This window comes from Homo sapiens, chromosome 1 (genome assembly GCF_000001405.40).
Source record: "Homo sapiens chromosome 1, GRCh38.p14 Primary Assembly".
In the NCBI taxonomy this organism is placed as follows: Eukaryota; Metazoa; Chordata; class Mammalia; order Primates; family Hominidae; genus Homo; species Homo sapiens.
The window spans coordinates 7,806,413-7,828,242 of NC_000001.11; the positions used below are offsets into that span (position 1 = coordinate 7,806,413).

The 21,830-nt window shown below is 39.7% G+C and overlaps 1 protein-coding gene and 1 long non-coding RNA gene across 48 annotated transcripts in view, besides 2 other annotated features; one reads left to right on the forward strand and one right to left on the reverse strand.

The window, feature by feature from the left end:
* The window catches only part of PER3 (period circadian regulator 3), a 60,887-nt gene that overhangs the window by 22,122 nt on the left and 16,935 nt on the right, over positions 1 to 21,830 (forward strand). For 24 of the 47 annotated variants that reach the window (XM_047433449.1, XM_047433435.1, XM_047433453.1 and 21 more), the window contains 8 exons: positions 2,481 to 2,586; positions 3,481 to 3,609; positions 4,026 to 4,176; positions 12,873 to 13,008; positions 13,703 to 13,827; positions 14,055 to 14,228; positions 20,068 to 20,298; positions 20,706 to 21,403. In XM_047433449.1, coding sequence (XP_047289405.1) covers positions 2,481 to 2,586; positions 3,481 to 3,609; positions 4,026 to 4,176; positions 12,873 to 13,008; positions 13,703 to 13,827; positions 14,055 to 14,228; positions 20,068 to 20,298; positions 20,706 to 21,403 — 1,750 coding nt within the window. The remainder of the gene's footprint in view (positions 1 to 2,480; positions 2,587 to 3,480; positions 3,610 to 4,025; positions 4,177 to 12,872; positions 13,009 to 13,702; positions 13,828 to 14,054; positions 14,229 to 20,067; positions 20,299 to 20,705; positions 21,404 to 21,830) is intronic. The other 23 variants (XM_047433457.1, XM_047433442.1, XM_047433459.1 and 20 more) reach the window with 1 other exon arrangement.
* LOC124903833 (uncharacterized) lies at positions 2,725 to 20,706 on the reverse strand. Its single transcript, XR_007065450.1, has 2 exons — positions 20,635 to 20,706; positions 2,725 to 5,192 (listed from the first exon to the last, which is right to left on the reverse strand). It is a non-coding gene; the product is annotated as an uncharacterized LOC124903833 (long non-coding RNA).
* Positions 4,863 to 5,063: a silencer, noted in NCBI's record as "peak42 fragment used in MPRA reporter construct". NCBI's record gives its function as "represses an SCP1 promoter by STARR-seq MPRAs in K562 erythroleukemia cells {active_cell/tissue: K562}" and the evidence as "EXISTENCE:reporter gene assay evidence [ECO:0000049][PMID:32103011]".
* Positions 20,118 to 21,317: an enhancer, noted in NCBI's record as "CDK7 strongly-dependent group 2 enhancer chr1:7886590-7887789 (GRCh37/hg19 assembly coordinates)". NCBI's record gives its function as "activates an origin of replication core promoter dependent on BRD2, BRD4, P300/CBP, MED14 and CDK7 cofactors, with strong dependence on CDK7, by STARR-seq in HCT116 cells {active_cell/tissue: HCT116}" and the evidence as "EXISTENCE:reporter gene assay evidence [ECO:0000049][PMID:35650434]".

Sequence of the window (21,830 nt, forward strand, 5' to 3'; positions counted from 1 at the left end):
ATACTTCATGGCATTTTTGTTGCTGTTTCATGAAGGCTGTCTCCTTATTGCCTGCAGATTAATCAGTTCTGCATTACATAGTTACTGACTTAAAATACATTTTAGTGTCTTACGCTTATAATCCCAGCACTTTGGGAGGCTGAGGCAGGAGGATCACTTGAGGCCAGGAGTTCAAGACTGGCCTGGGCAAGATAGTGAGACCCCTTCTCTACAAAAAATTTAAAAACAAAAATTAGTTGGGCATGGTGGTACGTGCCTGTAGTCCCAGCTACTTAGGAGGCTGAGGCAAGAGGGTTGCTTGAGTCCAGGTGTTCAAGGCAGTAGTGAGCCAGAATTGCACCACTGCACTCCAGGCTGGGCAGCAGAGCAAGACCCTGTCTCTTAAAAAAAAAAAAAAAAAATATATATATATATATATATATATTACATACACACACACACATACATACACAATTTAGTTTTGTAGAAATTTTCACAACTAGGAATATGTAAATCTCATAAAGCAATCTGTTCTATTTCCATTTCACTCAAAAAACAAATTCCAAATACCTCTGAAAGGTTTTCAAGCTCACAATGTGTTTATATTAGGAACCAGGTGTACTTTTATTCCCAGATCAATCAACCATGTATTTGTTCCTTTAGCAAATATGTAGTGGGTGCCTGCTATGGACCAGACACTGTTCTAGGTACTGAAGATCCAGGAGTGAACAAAGTAGACAAAATACCTCACCCCGTGGCACTTACCTGGCAGTGGGATATAGGGAGAGACAGTTACATAAAACGTATAGTGTGTCAAGTTGTGAAATAAGGTTATATATTCAGGTACTGCTTGCCACAGACATATGGTGTACCTGACGCCATGCAGATAGATATTGATCTAGATACAGTCTAGATGCTAAAGTAGAGAAAGGCGATTGGTGCAGCTGTTCCACTGTGATGGAAATGTGCAGGGTGAGTGAATAGTCCCTAGACGTGGAGATATTCCTGACTGCTTTTACGATACTGTCAGCATCCTATGATTGTCTTGATAATTTCTGCCTTTGGGAAACTGTTTCAGTTTTTAGGTAACTGAGCTGCATGTATCAGTTGAGAAACGGCAGGCTGGCATAATGGAAAAAGGACAGCCCAGGCTTGGGGGTCAGACGTAGGCGGATTCAAATCCTAACTGCTGCTTCTCGGTTATGTGAACTTGGGCCAGTTCCTCAGAGTACCTCATCCCCTGACTTTGTGTATCGGGGATAATTCCTACTTTCTGGGTTGTTGTGAGAACTCCGTGAGCTGATGCAGCTGATTCAGTATGCCTCACGAATGGGACTTGCTTTACCAAGGTACCCACAGGCAGTACAGTGTGGTGGCACACAGGGTGGACTCTGGAGCCCAGACTCTGGTCCCTTCGTGAACACCTGCTTCCCCCTTACCTGCCAGGCCACCTGGAAAAGGTATTTAATCAGGTGAAGGAGAAAATACGTGTAAAGCACTTGGAATAATAAGGATTTTCAAAATGTCAGGTATTCTTCTATGTTATAAAAACTAGTACAGGCTGGGTGCAGTGGCACACTCCTGTAATGCCAGCACTTTGGGAGGCCGAAGCGGGTGGATCATTTGAGGTCAGGAGTTCAAGACCAGCCTGGCCAACATGGCGAAACCCCGTCTCTACTAAAAATACAAAAATTAGCCAGGCGTGGTGGCGTGCACCTGTAATCCCAGCTACTCGGGAGGCTGAGGCAGGAGGATCGCCTGAACCTGGGTGGCAAAGATTGCAGTGAACCAAGATTATGCTACTGCACTCCAGCCTGGGTGACAGAGCAAGACTCTGTCTCAAAAAAAAAAAAAAAAAAAAAAAAAAACTAGTATAGTACAGTGCCTGTCACATAGAAGGTCCCAAGTAAACATCAGTTCCTTCCCTTCTTTGTAATCCTCTCTGTTGGCATGTGTGCCATTCACTGTATTCAGGTCATAGATTGAAGATGCTCTAAAATTTGAGTATAAATAAGACCGAAGGTATTGTAATAGCTACATTTTCACCACTAGGGTGGGTTGCAGAACTGTCTTAATTAGATAGCTTAAGTGTTAGGTGCAATAAACATTAAATGTTGTTTGGAAAACTTGGGGTCTTTAAAATTCTTAGAGTAAGTTACAGTTACTCAGTTACTGTCAAATTTTGAAACCAGTTATTTGCTGAAGATATTTTAGTAGCTAAGGAGGTTACTTGTCCCTGATTTCAGATTTGTACATATATAGCACTGAAACCATTACAGAAAGATGAGTGCTTTAGAGAAACTTAAGGGGCCTGTTAATGTCTCATTTGTTTCTTATTATTTTCTGTACCTTCATGAATAGAATTCTAGCCTCATATTTTTTCTTTGGAGTCAAAGAATTGTTTTGTAAAAGCATAGATCTATTCTTGGAATAGTCTATTAAAAATCACTTTCGACTTCATTTAAATTGTTTGACTCAGTCTCTCACTGGGCATTTTCTAGGAGCCCACTAAATGAGGATGTTTTTGCTACCAAAATTAAAAAGATGAACGATAATGACAAAGACATAACAGAATTACAAGAACAAATTTACAAACTTCTCTTACAGGTAAGGTGAGATTGTTAAAAATGCAAAGTTCCCTGAATTGTGTTTTGTTTTAATGCTCAGTAAATTCACTTCACAAAAATAAACTGTAAAGGGAGACAAATCTTTGCCCTCTACATTCCAGAAATTTTTGTCTTTCTCTTTTCGTTTTTAAATTAAATTTTATTCTTTGTTCCTTATTCTGTGTTACACAGAATATTTTTGTAAGAACCCATTGTAAGACAGCAAACCACGTGACTGAGAGAATTATTACATTCCAAAGGCACCAGCGTGCTCAGCCTTTGGGTTTTGGCTTCAGGATTTTTAAAATAATTTCAGTTTTAAAGATGGGAGGAGAGGGATGGTAGGTCTCAGTTTCTCTTAACTATTGTAAGGTAAAAGTGGGAAAATGTATGTGTTGAAATAACTAAAGGTGTTTTCTACAAGAGATTCAATGAATAAGTGGTAAATAGAACTAATGGTGTCGTGTAGAGTAACTGTCCTCGGTGGTTTTCAGAATGTCTCCCATAAAATCTCTAGGGTGCATGAAATACCTGCCACGTTCTTGGAAAAAGTATAATATATAGTTAGTTTGTTCTCTGTATTCTAAACTGGGCATAAAGAACTAGAGTTTATTTTCCTGTTTTAAAAAATTAATTATACTATGGCTTTTTAACAATATGTTGTCCTGGAAATACCTACCTAGACTAGAACATAAGACCTTGCTCTTGAAAATTGCCGAAATGACAGAGGAGTGCCTTTCGTGTCAGCATCAGCATTAAAAGTACCAACCTGCACACACCTAATTTAGTATTTCAGGAATTGTCATCTTAATTTTTACATGATTCTAGATGAGCTCTGCGGTGGCTGCATTTGAACAGCCAGCAATTCTGGACTTGTTCCTCTTTGTCCTTCCAGCCAGTTCACGTGAGCGTGTCCAGCGGCTACGGGAGCCTGGGGAGCAGCGGGTCGCAGGAGCAGCTTGTCAGCATCGCCTCCTCCAGTGAGGCCAGTGGGCACCGTGTGGAGGAGACGAAGGCGGAGCAGGTGCATGGGCTTATGTCACATTCTTATACAGGCATCGTGTTTTCTGTACTACCTCGGTTCTGAATGTGGTGACATCTTAGTATATATTCCTGACTTGAAGACCTCAACTGATAACAGATATTTTCATCCATTTTGGTTTGGAAAAAAAAGTCTGTAAAAAGAAAATATCACCTTTGGAAAGTGATATTTGAATTAATTGTATGCGTTCTAAAAATTAGCATATTGTGAACAGATTTATTTAGAATTTGTTGGTACCAGTATACTGTGGCATGGTGCAGGAAACTGGATTAAAGTGATTACTGTGCTTCAGTCATTATATCTTCAAAGAAACAGAAGCTAAGTGTATTTTGTTTATGTATCTTTTAGTGGACATTTTTATAATTTTTGAAACATATTTTATCATTCCTTTCCCTAAGATGACCTTGCAGCAGGTCTATGCCAGTGTGAACAAAATTAAAAATCTGGGTCAGCAGCTCTACATTGAGTCAATGACCAAATCATCATTCAAGCCAGTGACGGGGACACGCACAGAACCGAATGGTGGTGGTGAGTCAGCGAATGGTGGTGGTGAGTCAGCCGGCAGCCCCAAGGATCTCCTTCCATGGGCTGTCACTCTCTGCATAGACGTCATGTATGTGATTCGTGAGCATAAAGTCATGACCCTGTGTTGCTGCTTTTCATATTTCTTGATTTGCCTAGATAGCAATAGTAATAGCAATAGTAGTAATAATAATGGCAGCAACAAATACTGTTCTGAAAGGAAATGGTATTAGAATGTATTTGTAACAGTTGCAGTTCACTTTTACTGAAGAATTAACTTCTCTGTAAATACCAACGAATTATAGATTTCCCTCCCTACATGGGCATCTCTTTAAACAAAAAGAGTGGATTTTAGAATGCATTTTAAATAATAAAGTATATTAAAATGAAAATCCCTTTCTGTCATTTCAAACAGAAAATCTTTGTGACCTAAATTCAGTGAAAAACTTTGGCTCTTTTCTTGACATGTATTTACTTTTCTCAAATACAAGGTAAGGAGCACTCAAAAAGAGCTGGATCAGTAGTAAAACTGGCATCATATTGAAAAGTTAACCTAGTTGCATTGTATGGCATAGGGGATGTTCAATAATATAGAAATCAAATTAGATTGACATTTAAATTTAGCTAACTTTCCCTTCATTTTTCTTCCTGAATGTTAATATAACTTGGAAGTTGTGATGGATCTTGGTCACTAAATGTTATTAACCTCTATCATTGTCAAATGTAGACGTTTTACACAGTGGGGTGAAATTTTTGAGGTCAATAATGATAACAGCTATATGCTTCAGGACTTGACATGATTTACACCACAGAAAGTCAAACTGCTGCTCCCAGAGGTGACATCACTGGGAACTTTCTTAGTTTGTACTGCTGTAACAAAATACCTGTGACTAGATAATGGATAAAGAACAGAAACCTATTTCTTACAGTTTTGGAGGCGAGGAAGTCCAAGATCAGGGCACCGGCAGGTTCAGTGTCTAGCGAGGGCCAGGTCTGTGCTTCTCAGAGAACATCACTTCCTTGAAGGGGACAAACGCTGTGTCCTCACATGGCACAAGGGACAGAAAGGCAGAAAGAGACTTAGCTAGTTCCTTCTAGCCCTTTTGAAAGGTTGCAAATCCCATTCATGAGAACAGAGTCCTCATGACTTTGTCACTTCCTAAAGGCCGTGGCTGTTCACTGTCACATTGAGTTTTAAGTTGCAACATAGGAGTCATGGGGGACACACACATTCAAACCATAGTAGAGCCCATTGGACTCCCCAGACAGAGCAAGTCCTGTTCTTTCATTTTTTTTCTTTTCACCTCGATAGGAAGTTGAGCATTCCATTGGTTTCTTCTGCTGTTACATGTAAGGGCACAAGATAGGAATCACAGCTGCTTTTTTTATTGTCCCTTGAAACCCCTACATTTCTCCTCTGCAAAAGAATTTATCTTAAATACAATTTTTACTATATAGATTATTATTCCATGTCCTAGCAGAGAGAATTCTTTTAGGAGGTTTTTAAAGCTAAAGTGTCTAAATGTTTTTCTCATTGTCTGGTCCTGCTAGTCCTGCTCACAGCTGCCTGGGCCTAGGATCTCATGGTAGTATCACAGTTTCACACACTGACCTCTGTCCTCATCTCAGTATAGCTTCCCTTCTCACTTGCTGCATTATTCAGTTTCTTATCATCGACCATGGATCTTGTAATGCCATCGGTACTATTTTTTTTTGAAGGCTATATCTTTAAGTAGATGGCAATATTCCATCATTCACTTTTTATAAAATTGAAGCTGCAGGTGGCCGGGTGCAGTGGCTCATGCCTGTAATCCCAGCACTTTGGGAGCCCGAGGTGGGCAGATCACGAGGTCAGGAGATCGAGACCATCCTGGCTAACATGGTGAAACCCCGTCTCTACTAAAAATACAAAAATTAGCCGGGCGTGGTGGTGGGCGCCTCTAGTCCCAGCTACCTGGGAGGCTGAGGCAGGAGAATGGCGTGAATCCGGGAGGTGGAGCTTGCAGTGAGCCGAGATCGCGCCACTGCACTCCAGCCTGGGCAACAGAGCAAGACTCCGTCTCAAAAAAAAAAAAAAAAAAAAAAAAATTGAAGCTGCAGGTAACTCCGTGTGCTTATGCAGCTACTTTAGAAACTGAAATGTTCCCACTCCTTAGATAGATTCTTACATTTGGCTCTAATAGCACACACAGGATGTGACTTTGGAGAAGAAGGAAGATCTCTTGCCATTTGGCACAGCTTTGGAGAACCAATGTTTCTGGGAGATCTTGATTTTATTAACATTTGGAGACCTACAAGTTTAAAGAGCTACAGAAACCTTTATACTCTTTGCTTGAGAGACATGAGGATGCAACTTAAAAATGTTATAATTTAAATGTTAGAAATTGACTAGAGATGTATACCAATGAAAAGGAAAATGCTTAGTTAAGCATGATCATTGTTTACATGTGTTATAGGAACTTAAGTTTAAAATTTATATTTATCTTTCTTACAACCTAAGAGCAAATAATGCTTTAAAGAGAGATTTTAAAAGTTAGTATGAGTTAATATGGGAGGGCAAGGAATAACAGGGATATGTAAAGCCCCTTCAGCTACATGTACAGAGGCCAACTACAAGAGACATCATTGAGGAAATCTGGGAAAAGTAAGTGTCCATGTCTAGGGTGATGGAATGTCTGAGTGAGAGAAGAGGACCCTTAAGTTGAACAGGTTCAGAGTGAGATTGCTTCCAGTTTCTGCTCAGGGATGTAGAGAGCCAGAAACAGCATCACCCCAGACTTAACAACAGAAAAATCTAGATGAAAGGCAAGTTCAAGACCTTTCTTGACTTCAGAGTGCTGAGGTTACAGAGCAGCCAGCAGGCCTAAAATCTAAGGAGAGAAACATATTTGCAGGGAGGAGCAAGATGCAGCACTGGATTCCAGTGCACCGACAGCCTGAGTCAAGTAACTTGCAAAAGACAGACCCTCTCGAAGGCACAATGCCAAGGAAAGACCAAAAGCTGAAAGTGGAGCAGATACTGAGAAAAAACAAAAAAATTACCCACCAAACCAGCCACCAGCTGAGGCAAGAAGTATAACTAGAGGAATTTGAAAGCTGTTGTACATGCTGTAGAACCATTACAATACTCAAACCTGGCCTAAAAAATAGATTAATTCAGAGGTCTAAAAGAAGGAAAGGCATGCCCAGTCTCTGTGTCCTACACAAGTTACACAGTTCTCAACAAGAAATTATGTAGCATATGATGGGCAAGAAGGGAAAAAAGAAACCTCCCAAGAGACAAAACCATCATCAGAACAAGACTCAGAGAGGACACAGAAGTTGGAACTATCTGACAGGGAAAGTAAAATAATTATGAATGATGTATTAAAGGCTAGTGGACAAAGTGGGCACCATGCAGGACCGGGTGGGTAATCACAGCGTAGAGATGGGCATGAAAGAAACCCTCAAATGGAAATGTAACATCTGTAACATCAATGCCAGAGATGAGGAACGCATTTGATAGCACTCAACACAGCCTGGAAAAGAATCATTATTCAAGCTGAAACAGAGAAAGAAGAATGAAGCAAACAGAATAGAGCATTCTAAGAATTTGGAGACAGCCTCAAACTGTCCAACATAGGTGTAATTGGAATCTCAGAAGAAATAGTTGAAGAAATAACAGTCAGGAATTTTCTACTGAGCCAAAGACCATCAAGTAAGTTAAATACAGAACAAAAACAAAACAAAACACTTGGGCATATCATATTCAAACTGATGGAAAAAAGAAAATCTTGAAAGCAGAGAAAAAAGACAGATTACATACAGAGAAACAAAGACAAGAATTGTAACAGACATTTCTTCAGAAACCATGCACACTAAAAAGACAATAGAGTAGCATCCTCAACCAGAAAAACTGTCAGCACAGAATTCTATACCTAGTGAAAACGATATGTAAGAAAATAAAGGTGATATAAAGATTTTCTCAAAAATCATGGGAATTTATTTCCAGCACACTTACTCCACAAGAAATGCTAAAGGAATTTCTTAGAAAGAGTATGATACCAGACCAAAAACTTGGATCTACACAAAGAAGTGAAAAGCACTGGAAAGGGAATAAATGAAGATAAAATAAATTCTATTTTTTAATTTTTAAAATTAATCATAAAGATAATGGACTAAAGCAAAACCAGCAAACTGGATTTATAGCATATATAAAAGTAATCTTTGTGACAACAATACTACAGAGGGTGGGAGGAAGTTATTGGGAATATACTATTAGTTCCTTATACTGTATTTGAAACAGTATTTTATTATTTGGAGGTAGACACTGAGTACTCAAGAATATATATTGGAAACTTTAGGAAAACAATTCGAAAATATTTTTTAAGTATAAATAATAAGTTAATAGAGGAGGTAAAATGGAATTTAAGACACTTAACCCAAAATGGTGGTCAGAAACCAAATGGACTGAAGCCGGGAGTGGTGTTATGTGCCAGCTACTAAGAACACTGAGGTGAGAGGATCACTTGAGCCCAGGAGTTCGAGTCCAGCCTGGGCAACGTAGCCATACTTCATCTCTAAAAATACACTTAAATAGCAAATGGAACAAACAGAAAACAGCTAGTGGCTGGCATATTTTAATCCAGCAACATCAGCAATCACTAATGTACTGAATATATGAATCATATTCAATCCAGTTATTCATATTCAATATTAATAATCTCCGTACACTAATTTACAAGACTGAAATCGTCAAATTGGATGAAAAGATCCAGCTACATACTATCTACAAGAACCCATTGTGAAAATAAACATAGGTTAAAAGCAAAAGAGTAGAAAAGATATACCATGCTAACACAGAAGAAAGCGGGAAGCTGTATTATTACACAAAGTAAACTTCAGAACAAGGAATGTTAGTAGAGTTAGAAAGAGAGACTGTGTAACAGATAAAGGAGTTGATTCCTTAGGAACATAGAACAGTCTTACATGTTTATGTATCTAATATCAGAGCTGTTTATTCTCTAGCCATAATGGATTAAACTAGAAATCAGTAACAGAGGTATCCAGAAAATCCTCAAATGTTCAGAAATTAAATAACTTCATACTTACAAATAATCCACAGGTCAGAGAGGAAGTTTCAAGGGAAATAAAAACATTTTGGGCCGGGCGCAGTGGCTCACGCCTGTAATCCCAGCACTTTAGGGGGCCGAGGTGGGCAGATCACAAGATAAGGAGATCGAGACCATCCTGGCTAACACGGTGAAACTCTGTCTCGACTAAAAATACAAAAAAAAAAAAAATTAGCCAGGCATAGTGGCACACACCTGCAGTCCCAGCTACTCAGGAGGCTGAGGCAGGAGAATTGCGTGAACCCAGGAGGTGGAACTTGCAGTGAGCCAAGATCCCACCACTGCACTCCAGCCTGGGCGACAGAGCGGACTCCGTCTCAAAAAAAAAAAAAAAAAAAAAAAAAATTGAATTGAACAAAATGAAAAGAGAACATAAAATATGTGGGATATACCTAAAACACTGCTTAAAGGGAAATTTACAGCACTGAGTGTTTATATGGAAAAAAGAAGAATGGTCTCGACTCAGTAATCTAAGCTTCCTCCTTAAAAATAAGAGAAAAAAGAACAAATTGTTTCACAAGTAAGCAATAAGAAGGAAATAATAAAGACCAGATATCAATGGAATTGAAGAGAAACTAAGTTAAATCAAAGGGTAATAAAATTAATAAGTCTTTAGCCATACTGAACAAAAGAAAAGAAAGGAAGGACAGGTTGGACTTTATCAAAATTTAAAACTTCTCCTTTTTGAAAGAGACTGATAACTATGGCCATACCACCCTGAACGTACCCAATCTTATCTGAAAGGCACTGATAAGACAAATGAAAAGACAAAATAGTTGCAAATGATATATACAATAATGAAGTTATATCCAGTGTACATAAAGAACGCTCAAAACTCAAGAAGACAACCCAATTAGAAACATTTTTCCAAAGAAGATACATAAACAGTAAATAGCATATGAAAAGATGCTGAACCTAAGTCATTAGACAAAAAAAATGTAAACCATATGAGATAACACCACACATCTGTGAGAATGGCTAAGTTTTTTTAAAAAACTGACAAGTGTTGACAAGGACACAGAGTGACCAGAGCACTCACCTATTGTTGGAGGTAATGCCAAATTGTACAGCCACTTTGGGAAAGTTTGACATTTCCCATAAAGTTAGACATACTCTTACCATGTAACTTAGCAATTCTATTCCTAGTGATTTACCCAACTGAAATAGAAACTTAAGTTCACGCAAAAACCTGTACATGAATATTTATTACACTGTTACTCTCCAAACACAGAAACAACCCAAATGTCATTCAGCAGGAGAATGGATAAGCTATGTGTATCCACACAGTGAAATGCTACTTAACGGTGAAGAGAAATGAACTTGATTCACAGACCATTGTATATATAAATCTTAAATACATTTCATTAAGTGAAAGAAGGCAGAACCAAAAGGTTACATATTGTACAATTCCATTCTGGAAAAGCGTTCTTTCTGGAATGCTCTAGCTCTGGAAAACAGATCAGTATTTACTATGATTGGGTAGAGAAGGAGGTGACTACAGAGGGACAGCTGTAAGGACATTTTTAAGTCATGGAAATGTTCTTTTGGTTACTGTGGTGATGGATACACAACTTTCCGTGCATTTGCCAAAACCCACAGATTTGTGCACTCCATCTCACCCCAAAATGCAGAGAGAACCCAAGATGAGATGCAGGCATTGACAACTGAGTCCAACTGCATTACAGATGACAGGCCTAAACACACGGAAGGGGTGGGGAAGAACGGAGCTCAGTAGCTTTGGAAAACAGTGCTTCAACTGTATCTCCTAGGGCTAAATACAAAATTATGAATGTGCACAAACACTGTACGCAAGTTGGTGTATTCGTTTCCCACCAGAGTATGGGTTAGCAATTCTAAAGCGACTTTATACTAGGGTTGAACAAATTGTGGAAGCCGCTATAGATAACGATGACCAGACTCCTCACTATCAGGAAAGCCACACAAAGCAGAAGGGAAGGAACTCCATGGTGCTGGATTGGCGCGAACAGTTTCAGTGTGGACTCATGCCCCTTTTGTTTAATATACAGAGGGATGGATAGACACGGGTTAGTATATTATACCAAATAAAGAATAAAACAGATGGTTCAGGCAAAGATTATCAAGGAATGAAATAGAGGTGAAAGGTTAATGGAGAACTTAAACTTTGAGAAGTTTAAAAGAAACAGAATACTTGCGTGATCTCAAAGTATTCCTCCAAAACATATTATTTATTACATTGTAAAATAGTAACTTTACACAGGACAAACAAACCTGAGAGACACCATGTTAACCAATGAACAAGGTAACAAAACATACTGACATCATGTACCCTGGGATGATGCACAAGGAAGGACACTGCACCTCCGCCGCATTCTCTCCCCAAATGCATAACCTCAATCTAATCATGAGAAGACATCAGAGAAACTCAAATCGAAGGCCATCCCACTAAAGTTCTGACCCTGAACGGAAAACAACATTGAGTGGTAAACTGATAAAATCCAAAGAAGGTCTGTTTTCCAGTTAGTAGAATGGTACCACTGTTCATTTCCTAGTTGGGGTCATTTTATTATGGTTGTAGACCATGGTAACATTAGTGGAAGCTGGGTGATGGGCATATAGGAACTCTATTGTACTATTTTTGCAACTCTTCAAGTCTAAAATTATTTCAAAATTAAAAGTTAAAAATCATTAATGAGTGAAAGGTAATACAGTCATTTTTCCATAATATGCTCTGAAAATAGAGAAGCCTCTTCCAAGCCAGCTAAAAATGACCAGCATCTAACACTTCTACAAAACTTCTCAGTAGTACATGACATAATTAGTTACTCCTTCCTTAAGAAAGTTTTCATTCTTGGTCGCTGTGAGGCCAAACCTTGCAGGATTTTCTGTTATCTTTCCAGCTACCCTTTTTCAGTCTCCTTTATTGGCTCATTGTCCTTTATAGGAAGTTTTTAGTGCTTAAGCCTGGAGGTTTTTTCTTCTCTCTAAACTACTACATCTACAATGGTGGCCACTTGCCACATGTGGCAATTTAAATTCAAATTCAATACAATTAAATGTAATACAATTAACATTTAGTTTCTCAGTTGCTTTAGCCATATTCCAAGTGTTTAATAGTTACGTTAGCACATATAATACTAGTCAGCACAAATAATCCATCAGTCATCACAGAAAGTTCTGTTGGACACAGGCTCCACCTGGGAGATGCTGTGTACTTCACACAGCATCACGTAAGATGCACAGGTCTTCCCACATTCCACCCTTAGTGATTGCCAGGGTTGATCAGTTGTACAGGAAGCGTCAGCTTAACATTGGAAAGCTCCCCATCAACCTTAAACCTATGGTTTCATTCCTTGATAATCTTTGTTGGAAATTTTTGTTTCATTCCTTATTTTTCTAAATACAATCGTAGCCATTCTATGTGTAATGTGCTCTGCACCTTATTTTATTCATTACGTGTTGTGGATATCTTTCTATTAGTGCATTTTAGATCTGCACTCATTTTTAATAGCCGCATGATATTCTGTTGATATATACATGATAAAGTGCCATGATTTAATTTTGGTAAGAAAGTATATGTTCTTAATTACATGCTGGGTACTTTTAATTGCACATCCCTTTATTCTGTTTCAGGTGAATGTAAGACCTTTACTTCCTTCCACCAAACACTGAAAAACAATAGTGTGTACACTGAGCCCTGTGAGGATTTGAGGAACGATGAGCACAGCCCATCCTATCAACAGATCAACTGTATCGACAGTGTCATCAGGTATGAGACCGCAAGTTTGGATACCATGTAAGTCTGTTCCGGAAGCATACACTGCCACTGTAGAGACTTCATAGAATTTTTAATAGCTGCTCTGACTTGGTTTTTCACTATAAATCAGTAGACGTTTATGGCGTGCCTAACACATACGCTGAACATTTCAGAAGGCACAAAAAGCTAGAAGATGCATTCCTTCTTTGAAGGAACTGTGGTATAGTTCAGAAGACAAGACCTAATTTTGTCAAAATTAAATGGTGTAAGGCAAGCTTCTCCAACCCATGGCCCACAGGCTGCATGTGGCACAGGACAGCTTTGAGTGCAGCCCAACACAAGTATGTAAACTTTCTTAAAACGTTATGAGATTTTTTTGTGTGATTTTTTTTTTTTTTTAGTTCGTCAGTTATGATTAGTATTAGTGTATTTTATGTGTGGCCTAAGACAATTATTCTTCTTCCAGTGTGGCCCAGGGAAGCCAAAAGATTGGACACCCATGGTATAAGATTTGAAGGTTAATTCAAGACCACAGTAAAAGAAATGTTACAATCCAGTGATTGAGGCTGGGATGGTCAGGGAAGACTTTATCAAAGAAGAAAGTACAAAGTATGCCAAACATAAGTGGCATGAGAAAAGCAAAGAGGTGGGAAATGGCACAATTAGGGAACAGGTAAGAATGTGTGGCCTAATTATGTTGTTACAGATACCTGAAGAGCTACAACATTCCAGCTTTGAAAAGAAAGTGTATCTCCTGTACAAATACAACTTCTTCCTCCTCAGAAGAAGACAAACAGAACCACAAGGCAGATGATGTCCAAGCCTTACAAGGTAACAAGAATGCCCCTCAGAGTTAAATTCAAAGAACTGTAAATACATCCTTCTTGTTTCTCTTTAATGTCTTATATTGTTATAAGCATAAAATTCTGGTTTCATATTACCTCTTTATGACAGTAAGGTTTAATTTCTCAGTTACAAACTTCTGTAAACTGGGTCTTTTATGTAAATTTCTCGTTGGGAATTTTTCTTTTCACTGTCAGTTTCTCTTACACCACCAGCTGGTTTGCAAATCCCAGCCATACCTAAATCAGAAATGCCAACAAATGGACGGTCCATAGACACAGGAGGAGGAGCTCCACAGATCCTGTCCACGGCGATGCTGAGCTTGGGGTCGGGCATAAGCCAATGCGGTTACAGCAGCACCATTGTCCATGTCCCACCCCCAGAGACAGGTACCACACTCGCCTCTTACTTTGAAAATATACTCAACTTTAACTACATTGTGATGAGAAAACAAAAGTCATGAATACCATTCGCTCGGTTGTAACTTCTAAACTACACATATTTTTTCCTTTCTTTAGTTCAGTTAAAGTATTTCTGGAAACATTATCATGTTTATGTTGGTTACATATTTTGGACAGTATTTCTCAGTTATGTTATTTGTCAATGAAATCAGTTGACACATATAAAGCACTTAATACAGTACCTAGTAGGTAGGTATTAGCCCTCAATTAGTGTTAGCCATTATTAATGCAATTATTGATGGCACTGTGTTAGGTTACTTCCTTGCTGACTTTCACAGAATGTGTTCCTTTCACCTGCATTTCACCATCCTGTATTGTGATGAGCTCAGTCACACATACCTTCAGATTTTTGTATTGCTGTGATGGCAATGAATAGAGTACTTTAAAACTCTTCATTTAATACCATAATTTCTTGGTAAATTATTCTACTGTCTTCTTATTCCTCTTTATTGCCACTTGTCCTTTTGACATTTTCATCACTCATAACAATTTGGGTAGATGAAGGAATGGTGACAAATACGTTAAATTGGGTTTTCACATGATCTCTGCTTTATCTTTGCTAGTCTTCAGTGGCTTATCAGCTAATACGTGTTAAGCCATTTCTGTGTGCCACTGTCTGCTCTTAGTTCTTCACTGGTATGATCTCATTAAATCTTTCCAACAACCTGTGAGATGGAGAGTGTGGTACTGACAGGAGATCTGTGGATTGGTGGAGAAAGATCAGAGAGCATTACGTTTCTAATTAGTCAAAAGTAGAGTTTCACTGGAACTGAGCTAGCCCCTCCACAGAGGAGCATATGCACATTTTTTAGTGTGCCTTTTAATATTTTGCATTCCTGTGTGGGCATGTAGCTGTTCATAATACAGCCCATACAGGAAGGGAGGGTATCACCCAATATGAAAAGCTCTTTTTTTTATATTCTGCCACTCTGCTTTCTATACTCTGCTCTTATATGACCGTTTTTAATGAATTTATACTAAAGTCTATATGCTTTAGGAAATTTTTACTGCTATTAGTTTCTTCTGATCTTAAATCAGCCTCAACATTTACAGGGCCACATCTTTATTCCATGGAGAAAAAGCAGAATCAGAGCCCAGATATTCCTTAAAACATATCTCTATGTCTTTTGCTTTCTGAAAAGCTCATATTCATTAGCTCAGTTTGCATCCTGACTCAGATGAGTTGTGTCTAAGGACGATGGTCACAAATGCATTTCCTTGCAAGTTAATGTCTTCATTTTATGTGTGGAACAATTAAACCACAAATTAGGCACAGTAACTTCACTTGCCCAATATGACACAGCCCATGAGTAGTAGAGTAGGGAATCAAGTATTGACCATTAGTCTCTAGGAGTCGTTGCCATTACAGATACTTTGAACCTAAAGCAGGGTCTAATTAAGATGGAATGTAGGCCAGGCACAGTGGCTCATGCCTATAACCCCAGCATTTTGGGAGGCCAAGACAGGAGGATTGTTTGAATGCAGGAGTTTGAGACCAGCTTGGGCAACATGGTGAGACTCTGTCTACAAAAAATTTAAAAAAAAATTTTTTTTTTTTTTTGAGAAGGAGTCTTGCTCTGTCACCCAGGCTGGTGTGCAGTGGTGCGATCTCAGCTCACTACAGCCTCCACCTCCCGGATTCAAGCGATTCTCCTGCTTCAGCCTCCCAAATAGCTGGGATTACAGGCCCCGCCACCATGCCCAGCTAATTTTTGTATTTTTAGTAGAGATGATATCACCATGTTGGCCAGGCTGGTCTCGAACTCCGGACCTCAGGTGATCCGCCCACCTTGGCCTCCCAAAGTGCTGGGATTACAGGCGTGAGCCACAGCGTCCAGCCCTAAAATAATTTTTTAAAAGATGGAATATGAGATACAATGACTAAGCCAATCAATAAAATGCAAATTTAAAATAAACTCAATCCCAAAGAAGAGCAGGAAAGGAGGAATAGATTAACAAAAAAGAAGCAGAGAGAACAAACCAAATAAGATAATAGCTCTGCATGCAGCTATGTCAATAATGACATAAAATTGACTCAACACTTCAATTAAAAGGCAAAAATTGGGCCAAGCATAGTGGTTCACAACTGTAACCCCAGGGACTCAGGAGGCCAAGGAGGTAAGATTGCTTGAGGCCAGGAGTTTGAGACCAGCCTGGGCAATACAGTGAAACCCCATCTCTACAAAAAATGTTTAAATTAGCCAAGTGTGGTGACCCACACCTGTAGTCCCAGCTACTTGGGAGGCTGAGACAGGAGGATCAATTGAGCCTAGCTTGAGCTCATCTTGGGTTCGTTGCTACAGTGAGTTCTGATCACATTACTGTACTCCAGCTGAGGGACAGAGCAAGACCCTGTCTCTAAAAATAAGTAAATACATGAAAGGCAAAAATTCTCAAAACAGATTTTTAAAAATCAAGACCTAACTATATGCAAAGTACAAGTGAAATTCACAAATGGATTGAAAGTAAATGAATGGAAAAAGATGCACAAGTGAAACCGTAAGCATCAGAAGGCTGCAGTGCCTTATTAATATATGTAAAATAGATTCCAGGACATCTTTTCATAATGACAAGGTGGTCAATTCATCAGGAAGACATAACAGTCATAAATGTATATTCATTAATAACAGCTTTGAAAGCTATGAAGCAGCCGGGCGTGGTGGTTCACGCCTGTAATCCCAGCACTTTGGGAGGCCAAGGCGGGCGGATCACCTGAGGTCAGGAGTTTGAGACCAGCCTGACCAACACGGAGAAACCCCATCTTTACTAAAAATACAAAATTAGCTGGGCATGGTGATGCATGCCTGTAATCCCAGCTACTCAGGAGGCTGAGGCAGGAGAATCGCTTGAACCTGGGAGGTGGAGGTTGCAGTGAGCCAAGATTGCGCCATTGCACTCCACACTTCAGCCTGGGCAACAAGAGCAAAACTCCATCTCAAAAAAAAAAAAGCTATGAAGCAAAAATAAGGAAATAGACTTTCCATAATTATATTTGGAAAATTGTACACTCCCTCTCTGCAACTGATAAAAACATAGAGAAAAAATAAGAAACAGATGATCCATACAACACTATCAGCCACCTTGATCTAATTGACACTTAGAGAACGTGAGACCCAGTAACTGTATAATCCACAACCTTTTCAAGTACACACAGTATGTTCACTGAGAAATACGACATGTTGGGCTGTACTATGTCTCAGATTTAAAAAGGATTGATGGTGTGTGAACTGTGTTCTCTGGCTAGTGAATTAAATTAAAAATCAGTAATAAGATATTTCAACCCAAATGTTTATAAATCAGACAACACATTTCTAAATCTATGATTCAAAAAAGAAATCACAAAGAGAATTAGAAAACATTTCCAAATCGATACTGAAAGTATAGCATACTAAAATGTATGGGATACAGCTAAAAACGGGGCTTGTAAGAAGATAAATAGCTTTAAAAATGCCGTTAGAGAAGAAATGTCTCAAATCAATGATCTAAAGTTACAGTTTTAAAAAGTCAGCAAAAGAAGTGAAATAAGTCCAAGATAGAATGAAGGAAATAATAAAGACAAAAGCAAAAATCGACAAAATAGAAAACAGACAATAGAGAAAATTAAAGCTAAAAGTTGGTTTTTTGAAAAGATGAACAAAATTGATAAACTCCTTATACCAGTACAGAGTGGTCTTGGTTCATGTAGCTGTACAGTAAGTCTTGAAATCAGGTAGTTTAAATCCTTCAGCTTTATTCTTTTTCAAGATTGCTTTGACTGTTAGGTCTTTTGTCTATATAAACTGTAGACTCAGTTTCTCGGTGCCTTTTTTCCTTATTATGGGGTTGTATTTTCCTGCTTCTTTGCATGCCTGGTGATTCTTTCTAATTGGATGCCAGATACTGTGAATGGGTACCAAATATATTTGTATTCCTATAAATATTCTTGATCTTTATTCTGGGTCCCAGTGAAGTTACCTGTAAACAGATTGATCCTTTCAGGCTTTGCTTTTTAAATTTGCTAGGCAGGACAAATAGTGTGTAGTCTAGGCCTGTTTTTCCTCTGCTACAAAGGCGAGACCTTCCTGAGTGCTCCTTGTGATGCCTCAGGAGTTAGGAGAGTCTCTAGTCTGGCGGATGGGAACCGGCACTATTCCGCAGCTTGCGTGAGCTTCAGCTCTTGTTCCTGCTAATCCTCTCAGGTGGTTTTTTCCTCCCATGAATGCCCTGGTGAGTCCTTGGAAGCCCTCCAGGCTGCACGCTGGGGCAGTCCTCGGGCTCACCTCCCTTGTTTCTTATCCTCGGGGGTCACTTTCCTTCAGTGTCTGAAACCTATTATTTTATATATTTTGGCTTTTTTTTTTTTAATCTCAGGAAGGTAAGTTTGGTCCCTGTTACTACAACTTGGCCAGAAGCAAAGCCCCCTGTGGTGCTCATTTAGTCACAGGCCACTTCTGGATGCAGAGTGGGCCAAACCTACCCAAACCACCCGGATGCTGCACCACAGGGGCGAGCTGGAATGGATATTGGGGGAGCCCTCTACAGTGTCCACCACAAAATCTTTTGTTGTTAGAAGTAATTTTTTTAGAAGCAACCCCAAAATAGATACAACTATTCTATATCAATAAAAGAAATTTTAATGTACAACTATTATATATCAATAATAGATAAAAAAGAGGCAACCCAAAATCCATCCACAGGTGTTCACTTTAGTAAACTGTGCTATGCATATAAAATGGAACTCCGCAGCAGTGTAGAAGTATGAGACAACTGTCTAGCCACTGATAAAGTTCTCCAAGGGATATGGTAAAGTGAAAAAGGTGTGTTGATGGTTAATGTACGTATGTGCCTTTGGGTAAAGATGGGGTCAGAGAGGAAGATAATCTATATTCATCCTCGTTCATATGTAATAAACTGGAAGGGCCAGGTACGGTGGCTCATGCCTATAATCCCAGCGCTTTGGGAGTCCAAGGCAGATGGATCACCTGAGGTCAAGAGTTTGAGACCAGCCTGGCCAACACGGTGAAACCCTGTCTCTACTAAAAATACAAAATTAGCCCAGTGTGGTGGCACATGCCTGTAATTCCAGCTACTTGGGAGGCTGAAGCAGGAGAATCACTTGAACTCAGGAAGCAGAGGTTGCAGTGAGCCAAGATCACGCCATTGCACTCTAGCCTGGGCAACAAGAGCGAAACTCCATCTCAAAAAAAAAAAAAATGAACAAATACAAAATTTAGCCAGGCGTGGTGTGGCACACGCTTATAGTCCCAGCTACTTGGGAGGCTAAGGCAGAATCGCTTGAACCTGGGAGGCGGAGGTTGCAGTGAGCCATGACGGCGCCACTTCACTCCAGCGGAATGGTCTTCTGCAGGGGAAACAAATGAGAACTAGACAGAGCGTGGACGGGGGTGAGGGGAATTTACTACATGTCTTTATTAATACTTCCTGATTTTTGAACCACATGAATATATTACCTATTTAAAAGGTAAGTTCAAAGATAAAAAGAAATTTTGAAGAATTCAGGGAGAGAGAAAAATGTTTACAATAAAAGCAAGATTTAAATAAATGTGTGCATATTGATTATCACAACTGTAAAATGTATGTGCATTTGTGCAAAGAATATAAAGGAAGACAGAAAATGAAGAATTTCTGTGCTAGGCTAATGAAGATTTTTCGTATTCCAGCAGTTATAATAATGTTTGTAAAAATGTATCAAAAGGCAGTTAACAAAGTAAAATAAATACAAATAATTGATAGGAATTAAAATTAAATATGTCTTCTTCCACCTCAGCCAGGGATGCTACCCTCTTCTGTGAGCCCTGGACCCTGAACATGCAGCCAGCCCCTTTGACCTCGGAAGAATTTAAACACGTGGGGCTCACAGCGGCTGTTCTGTCAGCGCACACCCAGAAGGAAGAGCAGAATTATGTTGATAAATTCCGAGAAAAGATCCTGTCATCACCCTACAGCTCCTATCTTCAGCAAGAAAGCAGGAGCAAAGCTAAATATTCATATTTTCAAGGTACGTAATTTTTTAAAAATAAATGCCATTAATCTATGTAAATGTTACAAACTGTATCTAAGGACTAGGAGATAAGGAGTGAACAATAGGAGTTTTACTTGTAAGAAACTGATGGAGAGATGCTGAAACAATCTATTTACATCAACAGTTTATGTAAGTTCTTTGTTAGATCCTAGATCTGAGAAACTTTTTTGTGAGAAACTGATCGAGAGATGCTGAAATAAGTTTATTTGATAGCAACTATTTTTATCCGGAATTTTGTTCATCTTTTTAGAGCCACTTTTTGTCATTCTGGTAGTATTGGCAAATGCTCATTCGTCAGCTACTTATAACTACCTGTAAGTGGCATCCTTCTCTTCTTTTTGGGTTTAATTTTCCATAATTTGCCTCTACCTTTATCCTTCCAGGAGATTCTACTTCCAAGCAGACGCGGTCGGCCGGCTGCAGGAAAGGGAAGCACAAGCGGAAGAAGCTGCCGGAGCCGCCAGACAGCAGCAGCTCGAACACCGGCTCTGGTCCCCGCAGGGGAGCGCATCAGAACGCACAGCCCTGCTGCCCCTCCGCGGCCTCCTCTCCGCACACCTCGAGCCCGACCTTCCCACCTGCCGCCATGGTGCCCAGCCAGGCCCCTTACCTCGTCCCAGCTTTTCCCCTCCCAGCCGCGACCTCACCCGGAAGAGAATACGCAGCCCCCGGAACTGCACCGGAAGGCCTGCATGGGCTGCCCTTGTCCGAGGGCTTGCAGCCTTACCCAGCTTTCCCTTTTCCTTACTTGGATACTTTTATGACCGTTTTCCTGCCTGACCCCCCTGTCTGTCCTCTGTTGTCGCCATCGTTTTTGCCATGTCCATTCCTGGGGGCGACAGCCTCTTCTGCGATATCACCCTCAATGTCGTCAGCAATGAGTCCAACTCTGGACCCACCCCCTTCAGTCACCAGCCAAAGGAGAGAGGAGGAAAAGTGGGAGGCACAAAGCGAGGGGCACCCGTTCATTACTTCGAGAAGCAGCTCACCCTTGCAGTTAAACTTACTTCAGGAAGAGATGCCCAGACCCTCTGAATCTCCAGATCAGATGAGAAGGAACACGTGCCCACAAACTGAGTATGTAAGTGATGCTCATTTTCAACACTCAAGTGAGAAAGTGAATATCTTACTAAAGTTAAGGTGGTTGCGTTGGGACTCAGTGCTGACATTCTCAGTAGGTAATCCGCGTGGCTACTGTGAGTGAGCCTGTTAGCCTAATTCTGTGTAAACATGAAACACATCTGCCTGGCTCTGTTTGGAAAGTAGACATGAAAGAATCATCTATGTTCTAGTTTCTTATATACTTTGTGAGGTTTTTTCCAAAGTGCTATCTTTTAAGTTTTCATGTGAACTGGATTCCCTCTACTCTTTAAAATTCGTTACAGGTATTACGCTTAAGTGTTCATTGCCTATAACACGTATTTGTTTACTTACAACCGGGGTTATGGTCAGGTGAGATAGGAATAAGCCATATTGACAATTTAACGATTGTACTTCTTCATGCACAG